Consider the following 22,987-nt stretch of genomic DNA (forward strand, 5'->3'; position numbering starts at 1 on the left):
TGGGAGCTACAATAGTTCTTTTCATGCATTTTATGTTCTCTTTTTAAGCTGTACTTTGGGCATACGGTGTCATTTTTACTATCGTCCTTTAAATCAAAGATATAACTTATATAAACCCTTATTTTTTATATATTTTGAAATAATTTTAAATAACAAAAAACATAATACCTCAAGAAAGCATTCTACCACATCCTTTTTCAAGTCCTTTTTTAGTCCACACAAGAAAAGAAACCAAACAAAGTGTTTTCAATCCTTTATTGCACCTACCTCTCCCAAGAAGTGGAACGCAGATTAACTTTTTTGTTCCATGGTGAGTTTCTCAGACATAAATTATTTCTCCCCTCAACATGCAAAGGAGAATCTATCTGTCTGTGAGGACTGTATTTACCTGTGATCTTGAAGAGCTAGGTATTTTACTTTGATTTACGGCAACTTTGTTCCTTTCAAAATAGCACCATCCAATCTAGAAGTCAGAATGGGAGGTTGGTAATTAGCCATATTTGGCGTGAAGGTACCTACATAATGATTGCATTTTAACAGGAAGTGTGGGCTGCTTCTCAACCTCGATCTTTCTCATCCATAAAATCACTAAGATCTTCCAGATTTCTAGTCTGTAGCAATGGAAATGTAGCCCCTCTACTCAGCACTCACTAGTTGACAGGGGAATATTGTAATATAAGCCACTCTCCTCACTGAGGCCTGGGATGTATCCTGGTTTTCAAGTAGCTTTATTTGTCCCTTCCTGACCCTGGCTGCCTGAGGAGACAAAGCTTTGGGTACAGACTGACCTTGACTCTTGGAGGACAAGTGAAGCTTGTCTTTTTGACCTCTTTCTGTCTTCCTGAGTGCAAGCAGGCCACATTTCCCATTACTAATTCTATGTTCTCCTCATGAGTAAAATATACAATAAGTCCATCTTTCCCCAAAGGACAAATAAAAAAACAAGGGCTTAAGGACTGCTTTAAAGTATTTGCAGCTATTTTGGAAATGTTCCTCCTCTGAGGCTGAGAAGAGTTCTCTTCAACTTTCAGGATGACTCCTAGATTCTGCATCAAGTCAGCAGTCAGTTACAAGTTTACTGGGTGTGCACACTTGGCAGTATATCTGCATCCCTGCACCTTTTTAGCCCTGTCTCAGGAAAGGCTGCTCAAACCTGACTTCCAAAAAGCCTCCAGAGTGGCAACTGCTATAAAAAGTTTCAAAATCCTCAAATTGGCAGGGTCTAGTCTGGTGACACAGAAATCACCATCTGTGCCTGGCTTTCCTCCTGCATGGAGAAAGGGACTCTCTTTCTCCTCCTCCTTTTTCTTTACCCTATCTTCTGAGCGACGTTAAGTTCTGACAGGGTGGGCTTGGTGACTAGCATGCTACTCACTTTTGTTCCTGCTCTCACGTGTTGAAAATGAACCTGAACCATGCCTCCTAAATCTAAAACCCCTGAGATGGGGGTTCTCTGGGCTGTGGGATCTAATTTAGTTTTAAATTGAGAACTTTTTCCCCAGCCTTCTGGCAGTGTTCTCTGGTTTTTACTACGCCTCAAACCCTAGACTCAGATAGCCAATCACAATTCCTGAAGTTGTTTGCTTGATAAACAATATGTCTTAGTCTTAGTCTGTCCCAGCTGCTATAACAAACTACCATAAACTGAATGGCTTATAAAAAAGGATATTTATTTCTCACAGTTCTGGAGGCTGGGAAGTCCAAGATCAAGGTTCTGGGGGATTCAGTGTCTGGGTAAGGGCCAGTCCCCTTGATCCCAGATGGCACCTTCTCATTACATTCTCACATGGCAAAAGTACAAAGGAGCTTTCTGGAGCATCTTTTATTAAGACACTAATTCCGCATGTCCTTTTATTAGGACAAAGCCCTCATGACCTAATCACCCCGCAAAGGCCCCACCTCCTAATACCATCATGTTGAGGGTTAGGATTTCAACATAAGAATTTGGCGAGAAAAGAAACACTCAGTCCATTGTACACAAATACTTTTTTTTTTTTTTTTGAGACAGAGTCTCACTCTGTCACCAAGGCTGGGGTACAGTGGTACAATCTCAGCTCACTGCAACATCTGCCTCCCAGGCTCAAGCAATTCTCCAGCCTCAGTCTCCCAAGCAGCTGGGATTACAGGCGTGTGCCACCACGCCCAGCTAATTTTTGTATTTTTAGTAGAGATGGGATTTTGCCATGTTGGCCAGGCTGATCTCAAACTCCTCACCTCAGTTAATCTGCCCGCCTCGAGCTCCCAAAGTGTTGGGATTACAAGCGTGAGCCACCATGCCCGGCCAACATTATATTAAAGACTGCCTCTTTAGCACTCATTTCCTAAGTGTTTGTCAATTTTTGGTTTCCAGTGTCTGTTATTGCTGTACCATATTAGTAGTGAATCCTGGCTAAGATTCCAATGCTTTTCTCCTGCTGTGGCATTTTCTTCTGACTTGAAACCATTCATTTCTAGCAAGACATGGCTTGTGCAGAGGTGAAACAGCCTATATAACTGCTTGACAGTACATCCAGGCTTGGGGCATGAGCATGATTATACCCCCAGAGTTTTGGCAATATTGTTCACTACATGTTTGTCCCTCTCCAGGACAGAGATCATTTTTTGAACATTCAAGGTTTCTATCTTTTTCTTTGGTTTTCCTCTCTGTGTTATGTTTGAGACTCACAGAGAAATTAATCTTCTCAGAAGCCTTTTTAAGTTTACATTATTTAGTTGCTTAATTTCCCTGACTCTTCTGTTGCCTATGCTTTACCCGCTCAGGTTTTTTTTTTTAAACTACCTAAACTATACCTTCGAAGTTAATCTCATCATAGTTCACTTTTATTTGCCAAATCAGTAGTAACTTTGGAAATTCCACATACAACCTGCGCACTAATTTTCCAAAAGGTTCACAGATGGCCTAAAATTGAGGTTAGCTTCAAATTCAAGGATTGTAATCAGCACATAGTGCACGTAGGTACGCTGCACAAGCATTCTTAGCAATTCTAGAAACGATACCACATTTAGTAGGTCTAAATCTTACTTCCTAGAAACCTGGTATAAAATAAATTTATTTTATAGAACGAGAAATTACCAGCACATCATGATCATTAGTCTACAGGCAAAGTCTTTATTCCTGTAATATTGTAGGAAACTGTTGACCATATTTTTAAGTGTGAAATCTGCCTCTGACTTCAATAAATTTAAGACACAGTTGATACTTCAAAACAAATAATTTCCTATTTCAAACTATTACCTGTTATATGAATTTGTGAAAGACTACAGACATTCTGCAGCATAGACTATTTTCTCTGGTTATATAAATAAAACAGAACTTGCATGACCTTATATACTTGCTTGACTTTTTTTGTGTTTAGTTACATATCTTTATCAATCCATTAATTTATACATTTAAAGGGTATGTGTGTGCATACCAGATAGAAATATACAGAGATAAACTGTCTGAATTTGTATAGTTGCCTTATAGCAATAGCAGAGGCATATAATACTTAAAAGTTTGGAAAAGTGATGACCACTAGCTAAAATCACATTTCAAACTATATTTAAGTTAACACTACTTAAATAGGTTTCCACAGTACTTTATCCACAGGGTGGGTGAAAATTTAATTTCAAATAATACGGAGGTCCCCTCTTTTTCTTTGGGTTAGGCGATTGGAGCAGCTTACCTGAGGCTCAGAGTAAAGGTGGAAGGGCTTTTAGTCTTTAACCCATGATGGTTGCACACTGTCCACATAGTTAAAACCCATATCCATCTTTCAGTAGTCAGTGGCTTTGTCTCTTCTGTGCAAGACTGGTGCAGGAGAATCTTTTCAAAGGCTGTAACTTTATTTTCTCGTGTGCATTCTCATTCGATGAACCATATCATGGAGCCCTTGATGCTCCTCTGAGTGCTGTGGGGGATAAGGGTGGTAGATGTTGGCACAAGTATCCAATATTCAACGTAACTTACCATTCCCATCCCTTTCTATTATAAGACAATTTCTCTTCAGTTTTGTTGCCCTAAAACAAAAACAAAACAGTACTCTTACACTATCTCTCCTCTGTAGACACTGAATAATCACAGAGTTGTCTCTTTACATGGGATTAGCCTTTTTAGGAAAGCACTTTTTAAAAATCTAGCACTTTCTTTTGTGTCTCTGTAAATGCATTAATTAATCCATTCAAAATGCATTAATTAATCCATTCCACAATAGCTATCAGATACTGTTCTAGGAACTGAAAACACTATAGTAATCAAAACAAAGTCTCTCATGGAATGCACATTTTATCAGAAAGAACTTAAGCATCAAGTAAATGAATATATAAACATATCATATGTCAGGTAATATAAGTGCTATGAAAACGAGTAAAGTGAGTTAGGGTGTTTTGTTGTTAGAGTGAGTAGTGGAAGCTCTTTCTTTTAGGTCAAGAGATCAGGGAAAGTGCTTGTGATAAGGTATTAATATTTGGTCAGAGAGCTGATGATGGGAAGAGTCAAGCCATATGACTATTTCTGGGAGGATATTTTAGCAAAGGGAAGAGTATTTGTAAAGACCCTGAGATAAGTGTGTGATTAATTGATTCCAGAAAGAGCCAGGGCCACTTTGTCTGGGATTTACTCGTAAATGAAGGGTGGGAAAAGCTCAAAGCAGGACATAATGATAAACCTGTGTCCTTATGCATTGGATTCTCTCCATAAAAGTGAGATTTAAGTTGGCTATAGGTGCTCATTGACAGGTCTGGCTTCGAGAGTTAGCTGGCTATCTCTTCAAGGGAAAGAAAGAAATGTAGCTGATAGTCTTCTCTCCACATCTTACAAATCAATTGCCAATGATTATGGGTTGTAATAGGAATTTTTTTACAAGAACAATACAATGGAAATACAAGATCTGCCATTTAATCAAATCCATTTTGTAATGCAACTTACTTTCTAGTTCTTGTTCAAGTGTTTATTAAAATTTAATACAACTTTCACTTAACATTATACAATATTTATTTTTTCTTTTTTTTTTCCTCCATGTTTCCCAGCTCCTCTCCAACCTGAATCTCAACATCAGGTAACCTATAGCTTAGTGTAAATCTTTACATATGTTTCTCCATGTTACACAAATACAAACATACATATAAAAAAGTATTAATTTTCTGTTTTAAGTCATTTATTTGTAGAAAGATAGCATTACAGGGCATCTAATATTTTGGTAAGAATTTTTCTTCATTGACATTGCACCGTGGAAATCTATCCAGGTCTTTTTAATAGCTGCATTATAGTTATGTCAGTTTCCATATTTGTGGTACTTTGAATGATGAAAAAAACATAATACGTATGTTCTTCTGTACTGGCACCTTCACTCCTTTTGTATATGTATTACAGTAATATAAAGGAAATGTTTAGTTTTTATCTTGGAAGATATTGTTAGCTTATCTTTCAAGTGGACCATGGTAATTTATGTCCTTGCCAGCACTGGATTTTTAACATGTGTTTGTCTGTGCCAACAAGACAGGTAAAAATTGATACATCATTGTTGCATTTTATTTTTACGTTTTTGTATGTTTGGTTATTTGAACTTTGCTCCTTTATATATTGCCTCTTTATCTCTTTTGAGCATTTTTGTGTTTGGGGTATTATTCCTTCTTATCAATTTGAAATAGGTTTTTGTATATTTTGGCCCATTAATTCTTAGGTGATTGCATTATATTGCAAATATTTTACTCTGTTTACCACTTGCTGATGATATCTTTTGCTATGAAAATATGTAAAATTTTGTTCATTTATATTTATATATTTTCTTTTATAGATTCTGATTTAAATTTTTTAAAATGTTACTGCGTTAGCTGTTACAAGAATAATTAAGTATTCATTGCAAAATACATGAAAGTATAGAAAAATATTATGAAGGAAATAATTACAAATCATGATACCAGCCCTCCAGAAAGTCAACATTTTAATGCATAATGTCCCAAAATATGTAAAGATAAATGTCTACATATAAGTATAAGCATTTTACATGTATATCTGTTTTTGAACAAAAATGAAATTAGACTTCATGTTTTGTAAGTGTGCATTTTATTCTTTTAATGTGTTATAATGACAATTCCTTATCCATGCCATTAAATATTTACCAGTGCAATCCGTCAACATGTTATTTAACCTTAGGAATAGTATATCATACACTAAAAAACACAAAATTCATGTGCATGAAGAAGGCTTCTGTTATTGCGGCATTTTTAAGATGTGCAACTATTATTCCTTTAGCAAAAAATGTTGTGCTTGCTCTTATTTATCTTCTTAGGATGAAACCCTAAAAAGATAATTATCATATTTAAGGTTAAGGGCAATTTTAATGATTTTGAAAGATTTTGATACCTAATGAAAAACTGACTTTCAGAAAGGCTATAGTGGTGTATACCAAAGTAGCAATAAATGGCATACGCTTAGATCCACATACTCATTAATACTGACTTAAAACAATGTTATTCTATTTATCTAGTGATGAACAAAATTCAGGTGAAACTTGCAGTGAAGCGTACAGAATTGTTCTTATTTTATTAAAAAGATTATGCTAACAAAATAAAAGAACACAAATAATATACTAACGATGTCATTGGTGCTGCTGTGGTTGATGTTGTTAATGTAGAGGCTAAGAAAGGATCAAGAAAAAAAATGAAACCTGTTAAATATCTCACCATCATACATTTTACTGTTGTTTTCCTTATCTGAATGAAGAAAGAGAATTCAAATACCTTTCAATTATTTAAAGAAAAATACAAGGAGGTTAAAAATAAAATACGTAAATTCCAACTTACTTGGGTAGAACATAATTTTTTAAATGTTGATAACTCCAGCAAAAGTCGTAAAAGAAAAAAAAAACAGGATTATGACTAGGAAGCAAATAAAAACTACAAATAAGAAAGGACAACATGAATTCAATAAGTATCAATGTGAAAATTTCCTCCTTTAAAAAATTCTCATTATGTGTAAAAAGTATCCAGCTATATTTCCTTTTCTTTCTGAAAAGTATACTGAGGCAATGTATTTCTTACTGTCTCTTGCTCTTGCTCTCTTTGGTTAATAGAACTTCCCTCAATGCCTGAGTTTCTACAGACCTTGGTAAATTATGTGCCATAGACCTGCGACTCTTTAACGCTCATTCTCACAGTTTTATCTTTCTTAGGAGGTGGGAAAAATATGAATACAACAAAGTGTAAGTGTTAGCTATTTTTCTCAAGAAAGCTTTGCCAAAATAAGTATATACTTTTCTCAGAAATATAAGTTTCATATAATTACAGTAAAATGGAGCACGCAGTGATTACAAAGTTCCAGTGAGAAAACTTGGTTCAAAAATTCGATCGGCTTGCTTTTATTGCTTATATTGAAAGACACGGAAGTACCTACTATGAAACCTGTTTTAATTAGGTAATAGAGTTATAATGAAATGCTTTTCGGGAGAGGTTTTAAAATATTTTGAACGTTGCTTCCCTTTGAGGAGGTGATATATTTGGTGGTAAAACCCTCTCTCTACTGCTCCGTAAAATGTGGAGGAACCAATTAGCAGAGTTTTGAAAGAGTCCCTTGCATAAGAAGATAACAGAAACCAAAATGATAATATATGAAAATTATGAAATCGTGTTTTAAGAAGAAAACAGTAATAGAAAAGTGTTTTATTTTATCTCTAGGTATATTTTATCTTAAAATTTCTGCCTCAGAAATTAGGCCCAACCTGAAGAAGAAATCTACTCTTGACTTGGCATACACATGAACTACTTGGTGAGAAGGATATGGCAAAGAAGTTCACACATTCAGGACCTCTTTATGAAACTGAGTTGTTCGGCTCATATTGCTAGGATTTGTTGGAGCTAAAGAGCAGTCCAAAATGAAGTGAAGAGAGAGAAAAATATTGTAGTGAAGAGAATCTAAGAATTTATCATTTCTTTTACCTGTCCATTCTCTGCTTGTCCTAGGAAACAAAGGGGTTGTCCCTCCTGACGGATAGCGGGAGCTGTAGAAAGGTTGTCATGAATGTCTAAGCAATAAAGGATCCTTGGCATTTTGTCATTTCCAATTCTTTTTGTCTCACATTTCCTGGGATGCGAGAGATATTGCAGAGTGGGGTAAGGGTGCGGATAACAGCTTGAAATTTTTTCCTTCCACCCTTGCTTCTGTTACAGAAAATTCTTGAAGTTGTTCAGCATTTAGGGATCATCTAGGTGGCATGCAGAAGCAAATCAAATAGACTGAGAGTAGGAGACAACTTTTCTACATTCGTGATAGAAAACAAAACCTGGCATGGGGAAGGTTATGAGCCATCTACAATGGAAGATTCTCAATTGACTTGGTAATCAAAAAGATAACTACCTAAAGTATCAATGAATAGAGAAAGCCCTCTACATTTCAACTTGGAAATGATAAAGAATTCTAATCCAGAAAGAGGATAAAAGTCGATATGTTAGATATGGGTTAGAAGTGGGAGAGTGAGAGAATAGAACCAAGACAAACAAACAAAAAATGCCCTGACTCCCTGAAATCTTCCTCTCTCTGTAGGGATAGCTAATAAAAAGAAGCCTACAGACAATAAAAGTTAAAATTCTATGCTTACACACATCTTGTTATCACTTTCAACCATGAGCAACTGTTTAATATGTGTGACTTAATCTTTCTGTTTTTACAGATAAGGACGTGTAATTTCTGAAATAGGGCAGGGAACTTGAAACTGTGAGTTGAACAAATGCATAAACTAATTAAGTTAAAATTAGTGCTGTGAGGCTCAGTCTCAAAAAATTATTGTCTATGTGTTAAAGTCACCTTCTAAATATATAATTAAAAATAATTAATTCGAACATGAAACTCTCATTGATAAAAGAGAAGGAAAAATCTTTGTGAAACTTTCTTTTCAAGGTTGCATTATGATTTTCCAGGAATAGTTACGTGTTTGTATAAAACCGTTTTCATATTCGTTTATTCCAAGATGATTTCCAACCTAATAAAACTAAAATGCAGTTAAACATTCGACTGGATATTAAAGCATGATTTGTTTTTCAAAAGAAACATGTACCTTTTGAGCTCCCAACCGAAAATTGTAGCATGCCAACAATTAGAAAAAAAATGTAATTTTTTTCTTTTTATTTGTTCTAAAATAAATAAATAAATAAGGATACATATGCAGAACGTGCAGGTTTGTTACAAAGGTATACATGTACCATGGTGGTTTGCTGCACCTATTGACCCATCCTCTAAGTTCCCTTCCCTCACCCCCAACCCAGCAACAGGCCCTGGTGTGTATTGTTCCCCTCTCTGTGTCCATGTGTTCTCAATGTTCATCGACAACTTATGAGTGAGAACATGTGGTGTTTGGTTTTCTGTTCCTGTGTTAGTTTGCTGAGGATGATGGCTTCAAGCTTCATCCATGTCCCTGCAAAGGACATAATCTCATTCCTTTTTATGGCTGCATAGTATTCCATGGTGTATGTAGAACACATTTTCTTTATCCGGTCTACCGTTAATGGGCATTTGGATTAGTTCCATGTTTTTGCTATTGTAAATAATGCTGGCAATCCTGTAAATAGGTTACATGTGCATGTGTCTTTATAGTAGAATGATTTATATACCCAGTAATGGGATTGCTGGGTCAAATGATATTTCTGTCTCTAGATCCTTGAGGAATCACCATACTGTCTTTCACACGGTTGAACTAATTTACATTCCCACCAACAGTTTAAAAGCATTCCTGTTTCTCCACAGCCTCACCAGCATCTATGGCTTCCTGACTTTTTAATGATAGCCATTCTGACTGGCTTGAGATGGTATCTCACTGTGGTTTTGATTTGCAGTTCTCTGATGATCAGTGATGTTGAGCTATTTTTTACATGTTTGTTGGTCACATAAATGTCTTCTTTTGAGAAGTGTCTGTTCATACACTTTGCCCAATTTTGATGGGGTTGCTTTTCTTTTTTTGTAAGTATCTTTAAGTTCCTGGTAAATTCTGGATTTTAGACCTTTGTCAGATGGGTAGATTGCAAAAAATTTTCCCAATCTGTAGGCTGTCTATTTACTCTGATGATAGTTTCTTTTCCTGTGCTGAAACTCTTTAGTTTAATTAAATACCATTGGCTTTAGTGGCAATTGCTTTTGGCATCTCTGCCATGATGTCTTTGCCAATACCTATGTCCTAAATGGTAATGCCTAGATTTTCTTCAAGGGTTTTTATGGTTTTGGGATTTACATTTAAGTCTTTAATCCATCTTGAGTTAATTTGTGTATAAGGTGTAAGGAAGGGGTCCAGTTTCAGTTTTCTCCATATGGCTAGCCAGTTTTCCCAGCACCATTTACTGAATAGGAGATCCTTTCCCCATTGCTTGTTTTTATCAGGTTTGTCAAAAATCAGATGGTTGTAGATGTGTTGTGCTATTTCTGAGGTCTCTGTTCTTCTCCATTGGTCTATATGTCTATTTTCATACCAGTACCATGCTGTTTTGGTTACTGTAGCCTTGCAGTATAGTTTGAAGTCAGGTAGCATGATGCCTGCAGCTTTGTTCTTTTTGCTTAGGATTATCTTGCGTATACAGGGTCTTCTTTGATTCCATATGAAATTTAAAATAGTTTTTTCTAATTCGGTGAAGAATGTCAATAGTAGTTTGATGGGAATAGCATTGAATCTATAAATTACTTTGGGTAGTATGGCCATTTTCATGATATTGATTCTTCCTATCCATGAGCATGGAATGTTTTTCTATTTGTTTGTGTCCTCTTTTATTTCCTTGAGCAGTGGTTTGTAGTTCTCCTTAAAGAGGTCCTTCACATCCCTTGTTAGATGTATTCCTATGTATTTTATTTTGTTTGTAGCAATTGTGAATGGGAGTTCATTCATGATTTGGCTCTCTACTTGCCTATTGTTGGCATAAAAGAATGGTTGTGCTTTTTGCACATTGATTTTGTATCCTGAGACTGCTGAAGTTGCTTATCAGTTCAAGAAATTTTTGGGCTGAGATGATAGGGTTTTCTAAATATAAAGTCATGTCATCTGCAAACAGAGACAACTTGACTTCCTCTCTTCCTATTTGAATACCTTTATTTATTTATTTTGCCTGATTGCCCTGGCCAGAACTTCCAATACTATGTTGAATAGGAGTGGTGAGAGAGGGCATACTTTTCTTGTACCAGTTTTCGAAGGGAATGCTTCTAGCTTTTGCCCATTCAATATTAATTGGCTGTGGATTTGTCATATATAGCTCTCATTATTTTGAGATATGTTCCATCAATATATAGTTTATTGAGAGTTTTTAACACTAAGGGATGTTGACTTTTATCAAAGGCTTTTCTTAATCTATTGAGATAATCATGTGGTTTTTGACTTTGGTTCTGTTTATGTGATGGATTATTTATTGATTTGTGTATGTTGAACCAGCCTTGCATCCTAGGGATGAAGTTGACTTGAATGCGGTGGATAAGCTTTTTGATGTGCTGCTGGATTCAGTTTGCCAGTATTTTATTGAAGATTTTTGCATTGATATTCATCAGGGGTATGGGTCTGAAGTTTTCTCTTTTTTGTTTTGTCTCTTCCTGGTTTTGGTATCAGAATGATGCTGGCTTCATAAAATGAATTAGGGAGGACTCCCTCCTTTTCAATTGTTTGGAATAGTTTCAGAAGGAATAGTACCAGCTCCTCTTTGTATTTCTGGTAGAATTCAGATGTGAGTCCATCTGATCCTGGGCTTTTTTTTGTTGGTAGGCTATTAATTATTGCCTCAATTTCAGAGCTTGTTATTGGTCTATTCAGGGATTCAACTTCTTCCTGGTTTAGTCTTCGTAGAGTGTAGGCATCCAGGAATTTATCCATTTTTTTCTAGATTTTCTAGTTTATTTGCATAGAGGTGTTTATGGTATTCTTGATGGTAGTTTGTATTTCTGTGTGGTCACTGGTGATATCCCCTTTAACATTTTTTATTATGTCTACTTGATTCTGCTCTCTCTCTCTCTTCTTATTAGTCGAGCTAGAAGTCTATCTATTTTGTTAATCTTTTCAAAAAACCAGCTTCTGGATTAATTGATTTTTAGGAGGGTTTTTCATGTCTCTATCATCTTCAATTCTTCTCTGATTTTAGTTATTTCTTGTCTTCTGCTAACTTTTGGATTCGTTTGCTCTTGCCTCTCTAGCTCTTTTAATTGTGATGTTATAGTGTCAATTTGAGATCTTTCCAGCTTTCTAATGTGGGCATTTAGTGCTATAAATTTCCCTCTTAACACTGCTTTAGCTGTGTCCCAGAGATTCTGGTATGTTGTCTCTTGTTATTCAATTTCCCTGTAATGGTGCGGTTTTGAGTGAGTTTCTTAATCCTGAGTACTAATTTGATTGCACTGTGGTCCAAGAGACTATTTATATGGTTTCAGTTCTTTTGCATTTGCTGAGGAGTCTTTTACTTCCAATTATGTGGTCGATTTTAGAATAAATGCCATGTGGCACTGAGAAGAATGTACTTTCTGTTGATTTGGGGTAGAGAGTTCTGTAGATGTCTACTAGGTCCACTTGATCCAGACCTGAGTTCAAGTCCTGAATATCCTTGTTAATTTTCTATCTCATTGATCTGTCCAAAACTGACAGTGGGGTGATAAAAGTCTCCCACTATTATTGTGTAGGAATCTAATTCTCTTTGTAGGTCTCTAAGAACTTATTTTATGAATCTGGGTGCTCCTGTATTGGGTGCACATATATTCAGAATAGTTAGCTCTTCTTGTTGAATTGTTACCTTTACCATTATGTAATTCTCTTCTTTGCCTTTTTTGATCTTTGTTGGTTTAAAGTCTGTTTTGTCAGAGAGTAGGATTGCAACCCCTGCTTTTTTTTTTTTCTGTTTTTGCTTTCCATTTGCTTGGTAAATTTTCCTGCATCCCTTTATTTTGAGCCTGTGTGTGTCTTTGCAAGTAAGATGGGTCTCCTGAATACAGCACACCAATGGGTCTTGACTCCTTTTCCAATTTTTCAGTCTGTGTCTTTTAATTGGGGCATTTAGTCCATTTGGCCCATGTGTGAATTTGATCCTGTCATCATGATGCTGTTTGGTTATTTTGCACACTAGTTGATGCAGTTTCTTCATAGTGTCATTGGTCTTTATATTTTAGTGTGTTTTTGCAGTGGCTGGTACTGGTTTTTCCTTTCCATATTTAGTGATTCTTTCAGGAGCGATTGCAGGGCTAATGAAATGGTGGTAACAAAATCCGTCAGCATTTGCTTGTCTGGAAAGGCTTTTATTTCTCCTTCACTTATGAAGCTTAGTTTGACTGGATATGAAATTCTGGATTGAAAATTCTTTTCTTTAATAATGTTGAATATGGCTCCTGATCTCTTCTGGCTTTAGAGATTCCATTGAGAGGTCTGCTGTTAGTCTAATGGGCTTCCCTTCATAGGCGACCTGGCCTTTCTCTCTGGCTGCCCTTAACAGTTTTTCCTGCATTTCGACCTTGGAGAATCTGATGATTATATGTCTTGGGGATGATCTTCTTGTGGAGTATCTTAATGGTGTTCTCTGTAGCTCCTGAATTTTCATGTTGGCCTGTTTTGTTCTCTGTATTTCCTGAATTTGCATGTTGGTCTGTTTTACTAGGTTGGGGAATTTCTAGATAATATCCTGAAATGTGTTTTCCAGCTTGTTCCCAGCTGGTACTCCAATCAATCATAGGTTTAGTCTTTTTATGAAGGCCCATATTTCTTGGAGGCTTTGTTCATTCCTTTTCATTCTTTTTTCTCTCTTCTTGTCTGCATATGTTATTTCATTAAGGTGGTCTCTAAACTCTGATATCCTTTCTTCTACTTGGTCAATTTGGCTGTTGGTACTTGTGTATGCTTCATGAAGTTCTTGTGCTGTGTTTTTCAGCTCCATCACATCATTTATATTCCTCTGTAAACTGGTTATTCTAGTTCGCAATTACTCTAACCTTTTATCAAAGTTCTTAACTTCTTTGCATTGGGTTAGAACATGCTCCTTTAGCTCATATAGTTTTTTATTACTCATCTTCTGAAGCCTACTTCTGTCAATTCATCCATCTGACGCTCCGTCCAGTTCTGCACCCTTAATGGAGAGATGTTGCGATCATTTGGAGGAGAAGAGGCACTCTGACTTTTTGGGTTTTCAGCATTTTTTCATTGATTATTTCTCACATTCGTGAGTTTGTCTAGTTTTGCTCTTTGAAGCTGCTGACCCTTGGATGGGGTTTTTGTGGGGGCCTTTTGTTGTTGTTGTTGATGATGATGATGTTGTTGTTGCTTTATGCTTGTTTGTTTTTCTCTCAATAGTGTCCCTCTTCTGTAGGTCTGCTGCAGTTTTCTGGGGTTTCGCTTCAGGCCTTGTTCATCTGATTTGCTCCCATGCCTGGAGATGTCATTCAAGGAGGCTGGAGAGCAGCAAAAATGGGCACCTGCTCCTTCTTCTGGGGACTTCTGACCTCTAGGGGCACCAGCCTGATACCAGTAGGATCGCTCCTGTATAGGGTGTCTGACAAGCCCTGTTGGGGGAGGTCTCACCCAGTTGGGTGGCATGGGGAGCAGGACCTGTTTAACTAAGTATTTTGTCCCTTGGTGGAGAGGGTGTGTTTCACTGGGGCAAAACCCACTTGTCTGGGCTGCCTGGATTCCTCAGAACTACCAGGAGGAGAGGCTAAGTCTGCTGGTCCACAGAGACTGCGGCCACACCTCCCCCTAGGAACTCAGGGCAAGGGAGATCCGAATCATGAACCTGAGCCTCTAGCCGAAGTTATTGGAGATCCTGCCAAGAAAGTCCCACCCACTGAGGAAGGATGGGTCAGGGTTAGACCTACAGAGGCACACTGGCTGCAGACTGCCACAGCCAGTGTTGGGCTGTGGGGACAAGTCTTGGGACCAAGCTGTCCAGCCTCCCTGGCTTCAGCAGGGGAAAAGCACAGACCAGAGCTATAGCAATGGGTGCCCTCCTTCCCCCACCCAGGGAGCTTAGCATGTTAGGCAGTTGCGAGTCCCAGTGCTGGCTGCTGCCCCTCGCCCAAGAAGCTCAAATGGTTTAGACAGCAGATAGGGGCAGCTGGTGCTGGTCACCCCTCCCCAGAGGAGTTCAGTAGGCTTAAGCAGATTCCACCTGAGAGGGGGTAAGGATCTGCGCATTCCGGGGTTGGGATGCTAGGCCCTGGTGGCAGCGTGGGTTCACGAATGGGATCTTCCAATCTGTGGCTTGCACAGTTCCATAGAAAAAGCACAGTTTGCCCCGCTGGGTGGCACTCTCACTCACTGCCTCCCTTGGATGGGGGAAGGGGTTTCCCCTTCCCCATGTGATTCTCATGTAGGTCACCACACCACACTGCTCTTCCTTCTCTCCGTGGGTCACATCAGCATTCTAGTCAATTTTGATGAGAGAACCTGGATACCTTGGGTGCTGGTGAAAGATTCACATACATATTATGGTTTTTTTCTATGGGAGCCTCCAAAAGACACTGTTTCTAGTCAGCCATCTTGGCTCCACCCCTCCAAAATTGTAATTTTTATCCCAAGCCCTCATGCTACAAATCAAAACAATATAACCTTACCAATTGAGAATGAACTTGTAAATTCAAATTTTTTCCCCAGATTTTCCTTTCATTCTCTAATTCCCAGGTCCCAGTTTTTAGAAGTCTTAAAGTTAAATGAGGATGGGAAATAAGACGAGATTGGATCTGGTCCTCTGTCTACACCAGTTACTCATCCTGCCATATGCTGTGGAACTCTCTGTATCCCTCATCTCCAGTCTTAGGTCCAAGCCTCGTCGTCTTATCTGCTCAGCCTTTTCAATCCCATAAGGCCCAAGCACTGCATCTGTAGCACCCCAGGTTATAACAATCCTTGTAGCTTTATTTACACACAAAAGATGTGTGGCCGGGTGTGGTGGCTCACGCCTGTAATCCTAGCACTTTGGGAGGTCAAAGTGGGCAGATCACCAGGGATCAGGAGTTCAAGACCAGCCTGGCCAACCTGGTGAAAAACCATCTCTACTGAAATACAAAAATTAGCTCAGCATGGTGACAGGCGCTTGTAATCACAGCTACTCGGGAGGCTGAGACGGGAGAATCGCTTGAACCCAGGTGGTTGCAGTGAGCCAAGATGGCACCACTGCACTCTGGCCTGGGCGGCTAGATATGCTAGCAGATTGAATTAGCAGAATTTCAAATGTTATGTATTTGAACCAAGAAAAGACTAAGATAAAAGAATTTCCAAATTCTCGGTAAAATAATTTCTAAACTTAAACTAATTGCAATAGTTTCTCCAGATAATTGTTTGCAATTTGTAAAAATTACTCTGAAATGTATTTGGATAACTAATAGGCTGCAATAAATATTTGAATTTTAAATTTGGAGCAATGAGGAGCTTAATGACTCCTTTAGATAATAATACAAATAAATTAGCCATGGCATAATCACTGAAGTTATTGATGAAAAAATTGAGATTGATGAGGAAATTGACAATCAAAAATAAAACACAGGTCTATTTAATAATCTAATCTTTGATAAAGTATCAAAGTTAGCGAGGAAAGAAGAAATGGTTTAATAATATGTTAGAATAGTTGATTGACAATTTGGAAAAAAAATCTCAAACCACATATCAGGCATAAAATGAATTAATTATTCAAACATAAAATGCCAAATAAAATATGAATTTAGCATTAAATGAGGATATTCCAATCCTAAAATACAACAACATTTCCCATAAAAATATTAATAGAAAATACATATGAGGTTAAGGAGAATATTAAATATCTTGGGGAGGGTGGAATGTGAGGATGAGACTGATGTGGGAGTGCAATGCCTTTCAAGTTAGTGGCAGATGTTAATGCAAGTGATTCACCAATTTGGCTCAAAAAGACAGAGATCATGGAAGAGTGACAATTTAGTGAGCTAACTTGTTTCCTTAATGAGCTTCCAAAAAGTCTGTTAGTTTGTAATTAATAAGGTCTAAGTCAGATTAGTCAGGAATCTATAGGCTTAACATGTATACAATTGCATGCCTCTTTCAAGAATAGGCAGGTGAAAGGTTAGAGAGCTTAACATGTGTACAGTTGCATGCCTCTTTCAAGAATAGGCAGGTGGAGGGTTAGAGAGCTTAAACCACTAACTATTCATATAGCTAGTCAAGCAGAACTATTATAGTTTTGAAATTAGGCGACTTTAAATTGACAACAGTTTTTTCTTTCTATGAGATGCTATATATTGTAAAACAATGGTGAAGACATTTTAGTACACCTAAAGACCTGGGAACAAATTAAAATATTTTTCCTAATGCCCATTTATTCTCTAAGCAATTTCACAACACATTCACATATTACCATGTTTTTTATTTGTATTTTTTGTTTTTGCTTTTGTTTTTTAAACCAATTGCTTTTAGTTTTTTTCTTGTGTGGGCTATCTGTCTGCTTTTTGGGAGAACCCTATGAAAAGTTTGATCTGCTAAATACCACTATAGTTTTGTAAATAAATACAAATAAAATATTTTGTTTGTAAATAAATACAAATAAAATATTTTGTCACATTTAGCCAGTGGTCTTGATGTTATGCTAACATCTTCAATGCTTTAAAGAGTGTGTTTGGTAATTATATTCAGACAAGACTTGAGATGTAGATTCTTAGGTCCATTGCATATTTAAGCTAGAGAAGATAATATCACTAAAGGAAAGGGCATGAGACAGAGCCTTAAAGAAAAAGATTTATGAAGTGTTTATCCAAATGTGATCCATGAATCATCCACATGAAAATTCTCTTGGTGCTTACAAAAATGTTACACCTGAAGTGGGGGGCAAACCTACTAAATCAGAATTTGTTAGTCAAGTCTAGGAGACTACATTTTAAAAAAAAACACGCTCTTATTATTTTATATATTGAAATATGGGAAACACTCAGTTATAGGGTTGCTAAAGGAAGAGGAGCCTGTGATGAGGAACTTAAAAGACGTCATCAGAGGAGTGGAAAAAGTATTTCAGAAGAGAATTCATTTCATGTGTTGAATCAAGTAATTAAAGATAGTAGAAGTGAAGGAAGAAATGGAATAATGAAATCATGCTGACATACTAACATTCATAAAAAAGTCAAGCACTGTTGGAATAGGAAATTGTGTTGAGAAAGTCAATATCAATTCAAAGATAGAGCAGTTTCTAACTTTCATTGAAGTCATGTTGTAATGTGGAAAACCATGCATACATATAGTGATAATGACAGGAAATAACCATTAAGAGCAATTCAGGGGTTACTTAATAACATGGCAATAATTATCATAGCATAATCTAATAGGTTATAAAGCAATTGACCAGAAAAAAGGAATAAATAGATTCAATGATGAACTGGACCCTTCTATGAACTCTCAAAGGCCAAATGTATATCTCTTAGGTTGAAATAATGCTGGGAAAAATATATACACCACAGAATCAGAAAAAAGGCTATACATCAAGCTCTTTCTAACACCACTATCCCTGAAATGGCAAAAATCTTTCCCTAAAGAGGAACTCTTAAGATGTCTGGACAAGCCAGAGTAATGTTCTTAGGAGGGAATATAAACTTAAAAGGATTGAGTATGTAAAGTTTAGCCAAGAAAAATTTAAGGGGGAAATGTAATAATTATCTGGAATATAATAATTATGCAGATAGATTAAATATCATTGAGAGAAATAATTATAGCACAGTTTCATGAATAAAACAATGACCAAAGTAAGCAGTGTTAGTATAATTCAGCAAAACATACTAAATGTGAAATATTTTAAAATGTATATTATTAAAAGCTTATTGTTGCAATGATATCTGAATATTAAAAATACTTTTACCTCACCACAGAAATTAGAAGAACAAAACACATAGAAAAACTTTTTTTCTTTTCTATTAGTATTCTGATTATCATTATTGTTACTAATTGACAAAATTTTAGGTATTTTTCTATACGAATAAAGATTTTATTAGTATAAATTTGATATAATAAATATGAAGCTGAAGGATGTAAATATTCTGTGTTCTGCTTAAGTGAAAAAATTTCAATTATTTCTAATGTATGATATTTTTCTTTTGAATAGTAAAATATTCAGAAATCAAAAAGAAAAGAAAAGAAAGCACATTTTCACAACTATAATTAGGAAGGAAAAACTAATTACTGGAATACCTTCACCATTAAGGTTCATGTTTCTAGTAAGCTTAAATTGAATTATCTCCAAATCTTCTCACTTCTTAGAAGGGACATATAATTTTAAAATACAGGAAAATCCCATTTCAGGTTTCATAAGGCCTATTTTGTATTCATTCTCATGCTTGAATTTCTATGACTATGTCAAAGGAATAGATATATTTAGGGCTGAATGAAATTTCTTTATAATGTTTTCCATGGACTGAGCTATTTTCAGAACAATTGGGAACCATTATGCAGCTATATACAGAGGTTTTATAGGCCTTTTGTTGAAACTTTAAAAATGTGATGTTACATATGGGAATATAATATGCCATTTTTGATATAAATTCTTTGCATTTTAATGTTGAGTAAGTATTATGCATAACTTGGCTAGTTCATGCTCAAGGCTGTCACCTCTAAATAACTCAGATTTTTTTAAAAGAAAACACAGTACCATGCATTTAGAAATTTATAATCAGTTCAGTCTGAAGAGTATATCTATTTTAGTACAAGTTCTAGTGTTATTACATTTCATAAGATAGCCTTTATTTAAGACTTTGTTGTTCCTCCATTCTTTTCAGTAATAACTGGTTTCAATGAAGAGTGTATTATGGTATATTATTAACCCATTTACTCTTGGACTTTCCTCCCACCTACCTTTCTTTCTGCCACTTTAAGCTGTCAGTCCATTGTATTCAATGGAGCATCAGAAAATACCAAGTTCTTTCAGCAGCACAGCAGGTGCACATTTATGAAGCGTATCTGATATATTCAGCAACAGTCAACAGATTAATGTCACTGCTCACAATCCTTGTTAAGAGAAAAGGGGAAACAGTGATATAAAAATGAAAGTGCTATTTCCTTCATATATTTAAAGACAATTTTAGAAAATGTGGTGAAATTGTCTCTCCAGATTCCTAAATGATAGCCTGTATCACTTTTTTTCCAACCTAATTCCTAGACCCATTTGACTTTAAATCTATTAATCATGTGTTCATTTATTTAAAGTAACCTGGACTATATAAGAGGCTAAAGATGAAGGGATATGAAATATGGATTTTAAAGATAACAATCATCGTCTCAGTCTATCTAAATGGGCTTCTATAATTCCCAAACTAATTATAATATTGAATACTTCTTTCCTTATTTCATTAATTACAATAACAATATATAATATTTAGAAACATATATATGGATATATATACACACACAGGAAATGTACGGAAGAGATTCTTAAATATCTTCTAATTTCTCTTCCTTTTTATTTTCCTAACATTCATAGTAATCGTGCGTGTGTATGTGGAGGGCGGGGGGTGTTAAGCTTGGCATTTCACTGCTCAGGACAGCTTATATTTCCTAAACTTTCTTTCAGCTTGATGTCACCTTGTGACTAATTTCTGGCCAATAAAATATAAGCAAAAAACTTGTGAGGCAGCTTCTGGACCTTTCTTAAAGAAAATTTCATGTGTTCTTTGACTATAATTCTACATTCCTATCTTCATTCTATTGCCTGTAACATTCAGATTGTTATCTTACACCACGAGGTCAAAAAGGCATGATATGTACAATAAGATAAAACAAGTAAATGGATAGATGAGGCTGACAGCGATTTTTTTACTGTCAGAGAGGTAAATTACACATAAGCAAGAAAGGAATGTTATAAAAATAATATGGTACTCAATTAGAGGCAGTGACATAAGAATGAATTTAAGTTTGGTTTAGGTGTGTGTGTGTGTTTGTGTGTATATATATACATGTATGCATATATATGTGTGTATGTCCACACAGAGAAGATACTTAGAATTATTATTCTAAGTATTTGTTATTATTACCTAGTTCTACTTGCTAAAAGAGCCTAGAATCAGTGACACCTCAGAAGCAACAAGCACACCTAATGCGCAAGTCTTGATTTCTAAGTATGTTTTTCATAAAAGGAACTAAAGCTTATTGGAGAAACGACTTATTCTAATTGGGACAAGAAAAATGTAATTCTGGAGCATCTTTGAATGTAAGGACTTTCTAAAAAATACAAAAGGATGGTAACATGTTAAGAGAAATTGAAGGCAATCTGAAGTAGCTCCCAATTGTCATAACTGGGAAATCTGAGCAACAAAATGAGGAATGTAATAATGAATTACAACTCAAAGTGTAAAATAAATACCAATGAGCCATAATGATAAAAATAAGTAATTAAATGATGAATAAAATTAGATAGAAGAGGTAAATATTCCTTACTTCCTTACAGACTTCCTCTTAACATATGTAATGTCTCCCCACTCCAAAAGGAGCTTAATCTCTTCCCCCTTAAGGATGTGCTAAACCTAGTGACATGCTTCCAAAAAATAGAATACAGTATATGAAAAAGGAAACAAAGTAATTTAAGAGTGAAGAAATCTAAAAAACACGGTACCATAACCAAGTGATGATTGATATCATCAATAATAATGTGTATCCACTCATGTGATGTGATGAGAAGGGCACTTCACCTCTGTAGTATTCTTGCCAAAAATCAATAACCCGAGTTTAATTATGAAAAAATATCAAGCAAACCCAGATTGGGAGGCAGTCTGCTGGCTATCTGACCAGTATACCTCAAGGTCATGGGAAAGATGTGAAGATTGAAACATTGTCACAGACCAGAGGAGACTTCATAGACATGACAAATAAGTGTTTATTGTACCCTTGATTGGATCTTGGAACAGAAAGAGACATTAATAGACAAGCTGGTAAAATGTAAACATAGTCTGAATTTTAGTTAATAGCAATGTACTGATATTGGTTTCTTACACGGTTAACCGTCAGGGAAACGTGGTGAGGGGTATACTTTAAATTTCCATATTATCTTTGTAACTTTTATTGAAATCTAAATGTACTCTGAAATTAAAATTTTATTAAGAAACAAACAAAAAGTTATGAGGTAATGGTGCAACAAAAAGAAAGAAGCCTAGATCCTGACCCCATGGAATGTCTTACAGCCCTGGCCTCTGACTCTGAATTCTAGATAACAGAAATAAACTTGTATGAATAATTGCTACTTTGGGTATTTAATTCCCAGCCAAACTGAAACTCACATTCGTCTAGTAAACAAGCATGAAAATGACAAAAAAATCACCAAAAAATTTCCAGAAATTACAATGCAAATGCAATGTGTTTTAGTTTTTTTTTAAACAAAGTAAATTATATTATGTATATTTAGGTATACAACATGATGTTATGGGATACATATAGATGGTAACAGGGTTACTATGGTGGGGAAAATCTATCATCTTATGAAATTACCCATTTTTCTTGTTTTTGTGGCAATAAAAGCTAAAATCTACTCATTGGGCATGAATTCCATATACTGTACAATTTTATTACCTTTAATCCTCATGTTGTACATTAGAATTCTATACTTGTTCATCCTACATATCTACTACTTTGTATCCTCTGGCCTACATATGCCTATTTCCTCCCCAGTCCCTGGTGCTCATAACCAGTTTGGTTCTCTATCTCTGTGTATTTGATTTTTTTTTTTGATTTCACGTATAAGTGAGATCATGCAGTAATTTTCTTTCTGTATCTGGCTTATTTCATATAGAATAATATCCTCCAGGTTTATTCATGTTGGGGCAAGTGGCAATAGCTTGTTCTTTGTCAGGACTGAATAGTATTCCATTATATGTTTGTAGAACAGTTTCTTTATCCATTTATCCATCCATCAATGGACGCTAGGATTGTTTCCACATTTTGGCTATTGGAAATAATGCTGCAATTTACATGAGAGTGCAGATATTTTACAAGGCATTAATTGAATTTCATTTGGATATAGTATATACACAGAACGGAAAATGCCATGTCATATGGTAGTTTTATTTGTAATTTTTTAGAAACCTCTATTT

The 22,987-nt window shown here is 35.9% G+C and overlaps 1 long non-coding RNA gene across 1 annotated transcript in view, besides 1 other annotated feature; it reads right to left on the bottom strand.

The window, feature by feature from the left end:
* The window catches only part of LOC107984478 (uncharacterized), a 55,308-nt gene that overhangs the window by 15,740 nt on the left and 16,581 nt on the right, over positions 1-22,987 (bottom strand). The window contains exon 2 of the long non-coding RNA XR_001749242.3: positions 3,666-3,890. This is a non-coding gene — a long non-coding RNA (uncharacterized LOC107984478). The remainder of the gene's footprint in view (positions 1-3,665; positions 3,891-22,987) is intronic.
* Positions 14,412-14,913: an enhancer, noted in NCBI's record as "H3K4me1 hESC enhancer chr12:87756845-87757346 (GRCh37/hg19 assembly coordinates)". NCBI's record gives its function as "activates a minimal SCP1, AML or CMV promoter by ChIP-STARR-seq in primed H9 embryonic stem cells {active_cell/tissue: H9 hESC(primed)}" and the evidence as "EXISTENCE:reporter gene assay evidence [ECO:0000049][PMID:30033119]".

The sequence above is a fragment of the Homo sapiens genome, chromosome 12 (genome assembly GCF_000001405.40).
Source record: "Homo sapiens chromosome 12, GRCh38.p14 Primary Assembly".
Taxonomy (NCBI): domain Eukaryota; kingdom Metazoa; phylum Chordata; class Mammalia; order Primates; family Hominidae; genus Homo; species Homo sapiens.